At 48.5% G+C, this 9712-nt stretch overlaps 1 protein-coding gene across 17 annotated transcripts in view, besides 2 other annotated features; it reads right to left on the bottom strand.

Moving 5' to 3' along the window:
* Nucleotides 7435-7604: an enhancer, noted in NCBI's record as "experimental_1663 CRE fragment used in MPRA reporter constructs". NCBI's record gives its function as "activates a minimal promoter by MPRAs in K562 erythroleukemia cells, with activity observed for both the introgressed and non-introgressed 1:20418437 variant alleles {active_cell/tissue: K562}" and the evidence as "EXISTENCE:reporter gene assay evidence [ECO:0000049][PMID:34662402]".
* Nucleotides 7552-9712, bottom strand: part of PLA2G5 (phospholipase A2 group V) — a 63504-nt gene continuing 61343 nt past the window's right edge. For all 17 annotated transcript variants that reach the window (XM_047422608.1, XM_047422616.1, XM_047422645.1 and 14 more), the window contains 2 exons: nt 9568-9674; nt 7552-8895 (listed from right to left, as the gene is read on the bottom strand). In XM_047422608.1, coding sequence (XP_047278564.1) covers nt 8771-8895; nt 9568-9674 — 232 coding nt within the window. In that variant the 3' untranslated portion in view covers nt 7552-8770. The remainder of the gene's footprint in view (nt 8896-9567; nt 9675-9712) is intronic.
* Nucleotides 9078-9247: an enhancer, noted in NCBI's record as "experimental_1661 CRE fragment used in MPRA reporter constructs". NCBI's record gives its function as "activates a minimal promoter by MPRAs in K562 erythroleukemia cells, with activity observed for both the introgressed and non-introgressed 1:20416794 variant alleles {active_cell/tissue: K562}" and the evidence as "EXISTENCE:reporter gene assay evidence [ECO:0000049][PMID:34662402]".

Here is a 9712-nt window from a genome sequence, read left to right as displayed (position 1 = left end):
TAGTACTTGCGCAAAGTCATGACTAGAGCCTGGTGTTTAGTTTCTTTTTCTTTTCTTTCTTTCCCCGCCACTCCCCCGCCCCCTCTTTTTTTTGAGATGGAGTCTCACTCTGTTACCCAGGCTGGAGTATAGTGGCACGATCTCGGCTCATTGCAAGCTCTGCCTCCTGGGTTCACACCATTCTCCTGCCTCAGCCTCCTGAGTAGCTGGGGCTACAGGCACCCACCAACATGCCTGGTTAATTTTTTGTGTTTTTAGTAGAGATGGGGTTTCACCGTGTTAGGCAGGATGGTCTCGATCTCCTGACCTCGTGATCTGCCCACCTCAGCCTCCCAAAGTGCTGGGATTACAGGCATGAGCCACCACGCCTGGCCCCGAACCTGGCATTTAGTTTCTAATACTTCTAGTTACCCAAAACTGTGGTTAATAGAATGTTAGCCCATCTTAGTATGTATGAGGTACTTGGATAATTTGGGGTACAAGACACTGAACTGGACCTCACAGCTACAGAGGGTCTAATTCTGTGCTTCTGAGGAAGTTCAGAAGGTGCTTGAAATGCCTCTGGCCAGTAGAAGACCCAGTGGGAGTCCTGGGGGGCCAGTCTTCCCCCAGACCAGGTTTTCTGTGTTGAGTTCCTAATTCTGACTTCTGCCTCTCACATTGTAAAATCTGACTCCTGGGTGTGGTTCCCCAGAAGACACAGCTGTGACCCCTGCCCTCTGGGCACCACTGATGGCAGTCATGATGTAGAGGTATGCATGGGATTTAACTCGTGGACATTTACTGGGCGCTCCCTCTGTGCCAGGCCCTGTGTCAAGCACAGTGGAGAGTGATGAGAGCAGCGAGGCCTAGGCTCTGTGCCAGTGGGCCCAGCCTTGGGATTTGCAGGGACCCAGGCTCAAATCCCCACTCTGCCCATCTCTGATTGCATGGCCTAGGGCACACGTTCAGCCTCAAATTGAAAGTTACTCCCCCATTAAGTGGGATGATTACACTTAGTTGTTGGGCTGTTGGAGATTCAATGAGATAACCTGTAGGAAAGTCCCTGGCACCTGGTAGACAATCAGCAGGTGGTAGCTCTTATTATTGTTACTGATTTTAAAAATGCGATTAGTAGCTAGAGATAGGGGATGAACATTCCGGAGGGGGAAGAAACAGCAAGAGCAAGGGCAGAAAGGTGGGAAAACCAGAGCAAGAGCAGAGGAGTGGAGGTTTGGGAGGTGGGGAATAACTGGGAATTCAAACTGGAAAGGCAGTGCAGCCACAGCGAAGAACCTTAACTGTCAGGCTGAGGAACTTGGCAATGGGAAACCACTGAAGGCCTTAGAGGAAGGGAGTGATGCAACTGGAGTTCATGAAAGAGAAGGTGGCCAGCAGACCCTTGATTGATAATATTAAACCCCTGCCAGGGAAGACACTGTATAGTTGTGGGCTTTCTAAATTCAGCAAGAAAAGGGGCCCTGGCACCATCCTGGGAAGGTCTTGACACCTGGGTCAGGGTAGAGGTGGGATGGTCTGTCTGTCTGGCCAGAAGTGAGAATCCAGATTTCTTCCCTGGCTGGTCCAGGTTCTGGGAGCAAGTGCCAGAAGCAGATCTGCAAGTGTGACCTGAAGTTGGCTTCATGAGTGCAGCAGCACCTGGACACGTACAATGGTTGGAAGCTCATTTTCAGCAGGAAGCCATGCTAGAAGATGACACTTCCCTGTGGGACACTGGGGGACTGAGTTAAAGACTCTGAGCCCCCTGAGGACACCACCTAGCATGCCAGTCCTAATGCAATGCCCATCACCTTACCCAGCCAAGCCCAGCCCAGGGAGACCTCAGGGACAGTGAGGTCACCGGTGAGCCCAGCTCTCATCCAGACTGCCCACTGCAGATGTCAAAATCCCACAATCACTGTATTGTCTGCCCAACTCATTGGTTCTCTCTGTTTCCACACTGGTATGTGAGCTTCCTGAGGATAGGAGCTGCATCTCAGTCATTTACTTATTTATTCAGTCACTCATTCATTCAACAAACATTTTCCAAGCATCTGCTATGGTCCAAGCATGCTGGCATGTTGATACAGGCACTGGGAAGCCTGTAGCAACCAGGATTTGATATAAGCAACAGAACTACTAGGAGATACCTATATATAAAATAAGAGATGTATTATAGGGATTTAGCTTGCTGTGATTATGGGAGCCAGTAAAACAGTGTGGGTGGGGCTGTTTCTGTTTGTGCTAGTGCTGTGACCTGCAGTCCCGTGTCCCAATTGGCAAGGCAGAGTGGAACTACAAGGATGAGTAGAGCTCTATGAGGACAGACAACGACACCCTTCAGCCTCTCGCTACCCCCACGTCTTCCATGTTGATGATGCAGTGTCTTCCAAGGGAAGCCAGTGCCCTTCATCATGGAACCAAGTATGCTCCTGGCTCCGAAGTAAGAGGAGCTGAAGATCCTCTGCCAGGACCTGGAGTTGCTGCAGCTCCCAGTGCTTCCCCGCACTAACACCATGAGCCAGCACATAAGGGCCAGCATACATTGGCTGCAACAGCATTTCATGCCCTGCTTCGACTATGAGATTGTAAAAATTAAATTACTCCATACCAGTTTCCAAATCTTATGCAAGACATCTCTTGAGACCCATGCTAACCTGGAACTCTGCAGGGAAGGGAATTCTAGGAAATGAAACTTTGGCTTAGTTAAGTGAAATAATACAAACCCCCAAGAGTCCACCCCTTGTTGACTTGGCACCCATATGCACCTCTCCCAAATAAAGGCAATAGCAAGATCATCTTCCTGCCTAACATAATGCAGTTTTCCCTGTATACAATCTAACAAGCTATCCTCTCCCCAAAGTGGATAGAGGATACAAAGTTCTCTTATCCATCTCAATTTCTCATTTCTATTCTAGTTGAGTGACAATCCCCTTTTGATATCCTCTGACTTGAATATTGAGATATAAGGTTAACAACACTGATACACCTTATGTAAACAGCAGCACCCGAGATGGGGCTGCAATGCTGCAGCCATCCACTGTCAGGGAATGGTAGCATATGTGGAGAGCCATCTGTAAAACAGGCCCGGGTCTTTTTCTTTCTCCTGCAATTGGTCACAGGGAACTCGCCATGAATTCATAGGTATAGGTGAAGGAGGAGGCTTGTGGCAGGCACTAGGGCCATGGGCATGCTCACACAACTTACTTGGGCCTTCAGAAGCTATTCAAGCCCGATTTCACAAGACCATTTCCATTTGATTATGCAATTGCTGCTATCCATGCTGAACTTTGTTTTGATGGGCCTGTTAACACCCAGTTCATGATAGGCAACTCAGGTCTCATGATAACTTGGTAACCTGAGGTCAAGCATTCAGTGTCTACCAAGACCTGCTGGCAAGCCAGATACTGTTTCTCAAAAGGAGAGTAGTCCTCTGCAGTTGATGACATGGCTTTGCTCCAAAACCCTTAAGGTCTGCCCTATGCTTTACCCACAGATGCCCCTCTGAGCTTCCATGTAGCATCTCTATGTGCATATACACGTCAAGCACCATTGGATCTGCTGGGTCATACACCCAAGTGGCAGAGCCACTTGCATGGCAGCCTGGACCTTTTTGTTCTGGGCCCCACTCAAAACAAGCAACTATTCAGTTCGATTGGTAAGTGGGTTGAAGTGGTACTTCATTGGTATCACTGGTAAATGGTACTTCAGTGGTACTTTGACCTGAAACATGAGCTACTCTCTAAAATCTGAAGTGCCCACAAGGCACTGTGCTTCCTTCTCAATAGATGGGAGGGCCAGATGCTGTGACTTGCCCTACCTTTTGAAAGGGATATCTCAACATGCCCCAGACTAAAGAACCCCTGGAAAATGCCACTGCAGTAGCAGGCCCCTGAATTCTTGTGGGATTTCTCCCCCCTAAGGCAAATACATGTCATACATGTCATCACCAATGCTGACGTCCTGTGGGATGCAAAGATAATCAAGGTCCCTCTGGACTAGATGATGGCATAGAGCTGGAGAGTCAATGTAATCCTGCAGTTGGAAAGTGTAAGTGTATTGCTGTCCCTGCAAGCTGAGAGCAAATGCTTCTGACAGTTTTACTAATAGGTATAAGGAAAAAGTCATTCTGCAGTGGAATAATTAAAAAATAGGTGCCAGGGGATGTGTTGATTGGCTCCAGCAACAAAACTACAGCAGCTGTGATTGGAGGCATTGCTTGATCAAATTTGCAGTACTCCACTGTCTCTCTAACAGGCATCTGTCTTCCATACAGGCAGGCAAAGAAGCATTCATGTCCTGTATGCAGATTTTATTTTGTAGAGGCAGGGCCTCATTATGTTGCCCAGGCTAGTCTCAAACTCCTGGGCTCAATGAATCCTCCCACTACAGCCTCCCAAAGCACGAGGATTATAAATGTAATCCATCATGACTGGCCCTGTCTGTGGATCTTGAGTGAGATTTTAAAGACTTGAGACCATCACTTTCTTTTTCCAAGTTCTCCAACCCATAATAATATTTTTGTTTCCATTAAAGTGCTCTGTGCCATCAACTACTTGGTCACCCTTGAACAGGTGTGGACAGAGGTGATCATTTAAGTAGCTGTTTTATCTCTTCAGGCTGTGGTCAATCAATGTTCCCCTTACTACTAAAAACCAGTCATTTATGCCTTTAAATCTAATCAAATAAGAAAACCAATTCCAGATGCAATTCAAAGAGCCCATCCTTCAAGCTGTTCCTCAGAAACCTCTCCTAGTACCAAATTCTGAAGAGGTTAAGGAGTTCAGGCAGAAAGGCAGAAGTACTCTCATACGACAATACTTTTTTGGTAGAGATTTGACCTGGTACGGATGGGATTGCTGGCTTAGTCCTTCATAGGAGGCTGTTTCTCCTGTGCCTGGTGCTACAGCCTGAAGTTAGCAGGGCAGACAGTCTGAAACGGAAGATGGGTGTGAAGGGGCAGGGGAGAGCAAGGACAAATTGGAACCTGGGAGGATGCATGGAGCCCAAAAGAACAAACAAGAAACAGATGGGTCTCAATACCTTCCACCCTAGTTTCACTGCCTGTGCACCCTGCAGGGGAAGTTGGCTCCCTTACTTACAGAGCTAAACACACATCTGGCCCAAGAGTCAGAGAAATTAAAGAAATCCAGCAGGCTCGCCCCAGCAAGGCGAGCCAGCAGATCCATGATCCATGGGCCTGAGCCACAAACACAACATGCCCTGCTCCCAAGTGTAAAGAGAATATGACTGCACTTCCCATCTGCCTCCCAAATCTCAACAAAACATCTCTTTGGGCCCTAAACTACAGCAACTAACCAGAACCTAACCCAGAACTCTACAGGGAAAGGAATTCTGGGAAACATAGCTTAGCTAAAGTTACACAATCCAAACTTGCCACACCCACCCTGAACAAAACAAAATGTGTTTTCCTCAGTGCCTGTTGCAAGACCTGGCCCCAGCTCCAAGCTTCCCCTGCATGATGTTCTACTAAGAACACGGTTTTGGGCCGAGGTGGGAGGATCGCTTGAGGCCAAGAGTTTAAGACCAGCCGGGGCAACATAGCAAAAGCCTCAGCTCTACAGAAAAATAAAATTATCAAGGTGTAGTGGTGCATGCCTGTAGTCCTAGTAACTCTGGAGGCTGAGGTGGGAGGATCATTTGAGCCCAGGGGTTTGAGGCTGTAGTGAGTTATGATCACGCCACTGCACTGCAGCTAGGTGACAAAGTGAGACCCTGTCCCTGAAAAAAAAAGAGACCACAGAACATGGCTTTGGGATCAGACAGACTGCTTCCTTCCCACCTCTCTTCCTTATTACCTGTGTGGTCTCAAGCAAAACACTTCACTTTCCCAGTCCTCAGGTCCCACCCATCACATGGGAATGAAAACAGCAGCCTCACTGGGCAGTTAATAATGTCTACATGGTGTCCCGCACAAAGAAGAAACTCCAGCCAGACTCGCTGGCTCAAACCTGTAACCCCAGCACTTTGAGAGGCCGAGGCAGGCAGATCACCTGAAGTCAGGAGTTCAAGTCAACATGGTGAAACCCTGTCTCCACTAAAACCACAAAATTAGCTGGGCATGGTGGTGCATGCCTATAATCCTAGCTACTCGGGAGGCTGAAGCAGGAGAATAGCTTGAACCCAGCAGGCAGAGGTTGCAGTGAGCCAAGACCGTGCCATTGCACTCCAGCCTGGGTGACAAGAGCAAAATTCCATCTGAAGAAGAAGAAGGAGAAGGAGAAGGAAGAGGAAGAAGAGGAGGAGGAAGGGAGGAAGAAGAGGAGGAGGAAGAGGAGGAAGAAGAGGAGGAGGAAGAAGAAGAAGAAGAAGAATATCCATACACCTCCTACCTCATCAGCCCACCTTAGCTCTGTCCTCCTCCCTTCCATCCTGATCAGTGGGCTTTACTTGAGGCTTTTTCAGTTTGGTAACAACTACAAGGGGGCTCCCCGCTGCCCAACCCCTCTGTAGATATGCTTATAGAGATCATTTTACTTATGTTTGGAGGCTCACATTTGTGCCTGAAGCCCAATTCAGATGACAGTAAAGGATCTGTATGTACAGGGCAGTCTGTCCATTAAGGATGTATAAAGATCTAGCTAGGGAGGCATTGCGATCTGGTCTGTATGTTTCCCTAGCTTTCTTAAAATGGGATGACCTCCCTGATGGTTCTCCTGCCAGCCAAGGGATCAGCAAATGCAACAATTGAGGAGAACGCCTTTCCCCAAGTTTCGAGGCTCCCTTTGCTCTCATAATTTCCCCAGAGCTGTTCACAGCAGCCAAGGTGGAAGACAGCAATGGGATCTCCTCCACTGAGGATGAAGCCCAGAGCCCCAGACTGACTGACCACCCGGGGACAGCCTCCAGAATCCAAAGAGGCAGTTGCAGCAGGGAAGACATGGAGCTGGCCCTCAGCTGGAATCCAGGGGTTCCCCTGACGAACCCCTAATGTGGGTGACTCCCTGAACTGCTCCTTTTGTGGGCTGGGGTTGAAGGCAATGTGGGATAGTGGCCAGAGCCCAGAGTTTAAAGCTAGGATCTGAGATCGAATCCTACTTCTGCTGTTGATGTGCTGTGTGACTTTTGGACAGTCTCCTAAAACTTTCTGGGCCTCAATTTCTTGGTAGATAAATGAAGGTTCTCCATGGTTCCTTCCAACTCAATCCCACACCAGCCTGTAGTGTTGCCTTCATAACCTCATAGCATCCTGCTCCTGTGTGGATGCTGGGACTCTGAGCTGGGATGTGCCAATGAGAAGGGCCTGCCCACACCCCCTCCTGCAGAACTTACCAGCAAAACACTGCCCTGCCTCCCACCTGACCCCCATGGGAGAAGGGAGAAGTCTGGACTGGGTTCTCTTCTCTGTCATCCAGAATATCACAATTGAAGGAAAATGGGATTAGAGTGAAGACTTCAATTTCCCCCACATACCCATTCAAAATTGGATCTGGGAAATGGCTTTGATTTTAAATATTTCATGAGCAAATTCAGCATTTAAGTCCCTCCCTGTGTGGCATTGTCAAATATAGACACCGAGTCTAAATCAAACTTTTCTAAAGCACTGGTGCATTCAGGGTAATCTCATAAAATTAAATTTTATTTTGAAAACATTCGACACTAGAGCTTTTTAAATATAGACCTATTTATCATGCAGTTATTTTGGGGTATGTCGGAATAAAGAAGCCATAGGTCCTTTCTTGGAAGGATGTTCCTTTGTTTTGGAATACATCCTTTCTTCTTTCAGTCTTGGTATCAGAACATCCTTTCTTTTATGAATTGATAGACGGGTTGGTTTTTTTAATGTCCTTACTTTGTAAAAAATAAACCCCACAGCTGACACCTATTAAAAAAAAATTCCTGCTGTGTGAAATCCTAGAACCTCAGCATTCTCCATATCAGCATCAAGGTGGGCTTTAGAAGTCTCATTTTACATTGCAAGGAACAAGACAGTTTATTTCTCAAAGAGACTGAAAGTCAAAGAGGTTCAGTAACGGGTCCAAGACCACACAGCTGAAGAAGCCAGCACTGGGATTTGAATGCCACCCTCTCTGGCCTGGAAGCTGAAGCTGGCATAATCACCAGTTATCTTTCCCTGACCCCATCGAGGAAGAATGAGACCCAATACTGGAGAGGACCCCAAGGTGTAAGAAAATTAGCCCAAGAGAAAGCCTGAAGCTCATCCCAGAAAACCCTGCATTTACTAATCTTCCCTTCTGTTTCGGAGATAATGTAGACATCTTTGGGTTTATTGCCCCAGTGGCAGAGAAAGAGGCACCAGCGATCCCCCACAGCAGAGGAAAATGCCAATGTGGTTTTTATTAGCCTTGAGAATGAATTTTATTTAATACCCATACACCAGATTTAGAGAGTCAATTTGGCTCTTCTTGCGTAAAAATTCTCTGGAGGGTGGTGGTGATGATAATCTGATCGCAGAAGCTGAGAAGTAAGTGCATCTCAGGAAAGTGTTCCAACTGGAGCCAGGACGCTGTCTTCAGAGAAGAAAAGAGACACAGCCAACCCTGAGTTGGAGGAGAGCTCTTGGCACCAGAGGGGCTGCCCTCAGAAGTGGAGGCCTAGGGACCCTGGGACCCTACCAAGTCCTATGACCAGAGTCACTCTCCTGGGACTCGCTGGAGGGTACAGTGTGGCCCTGGGGGTCCGCCAAGCTTCGAGAAAGACTGAGGTCTGTGACTTAGGAGCCTCTCTCAGGAACCAGGCAGAGTCAGTACTCTGTGTTGTAGAAAAACAGAACAAAAGTCTTGGTCTGGGAGGAGCTCGCTGGGGAGGCCTAGGAGCAGAGGATGTTGGGAAAGTATTGGTACTGTGGGTTGTAGCTCCGTAGGTTTCTCTTGAGGCAGTAGACGAGCTTCCGGTCACAGGCACAGAGGTTCACATGGCAGAAGGGCCCGGGCTCTGCAAAAGGACACCAAGAGCAGAATGAGGGTGGGAAGAGCATGCTCCAGTCTCAGCAGAGACCCCATGGACTTCCTGCTCCGAGGAGCTTTCAGCCTGATGGAAGAGGCATGGCTCCTAAATCGGGGGAATAGAGAATCTGATGGAAGGGGCACAGCTGCTGCTCAGGGTGAGGTTTCAGTGCAGGAGACAGCTCCTGCCCTCAGGGAGTTCCCAGTCTGATAGAGGAAGCACCTTCCTTCCTCTGGGGGACTCCCAGTCTGATGGTGGAGGCAGCCGCTGCTCTGGAGGAACTCTCATTCTCATAGAGCAGAACCATCCCCAGATTTAGCCTTGAACTCAGAGGCCCTGAGCTTGAATCCTGCTGTGTGCACTGGCAGGCTTTCTAGCTTCCATTTCTTGATGTCTAAAATGGAGAAGCCTAAACATACTCTACAGGTATTTTGTGGGGGAATCAAGAAAAAGGAAGCATGTCAAGCACTTTTGCACCCAGTGGATGATTCAGCCCTACCCTGGGGGTCTGATACAGCTGCAATAATCCTGCTCCTCTCGTCCCAGTTCTGCACCCAACTCCTCCTCCCCCAACAAGATACAGGCTGGCTGTTCTCTAGGGCAGCTGAACTTAAAGTCAGGTGCTCTTCCAATGGCCCGAACGGGAAGCCCCAGCCTTACCGCAGGTGACCACGCCCCACGCGAATCTGTATTTGTAGGACTGTGTGCGAATGTTGCAGCCCTTCTCCTCCAGCCGCCCATAGCAGTGGTCATGCGCCCAACAGCACCTGTCCGTGCAAGAGACTTAGATCCCGAGTGGGAGGGG

The sequence above is a fragment of the Homo sapiens genome, chromosome 1 (assembly GCF_000001405.40).
Source record: "Homo sapiens chromosome 1, GRCh38.p14 Primary Assembly".
Classification (NCBI taxonomy): Eukaryota; Metazoa; Chordata; class Mammalia; order Primates; family Hominidae; genus Homo; species Homo sapiens.
The sequence above is the reverse complement of the archived record's forward strand: the minus strand, read 5'-3'. Positions and strand labels throughout refer to the sequence as shown.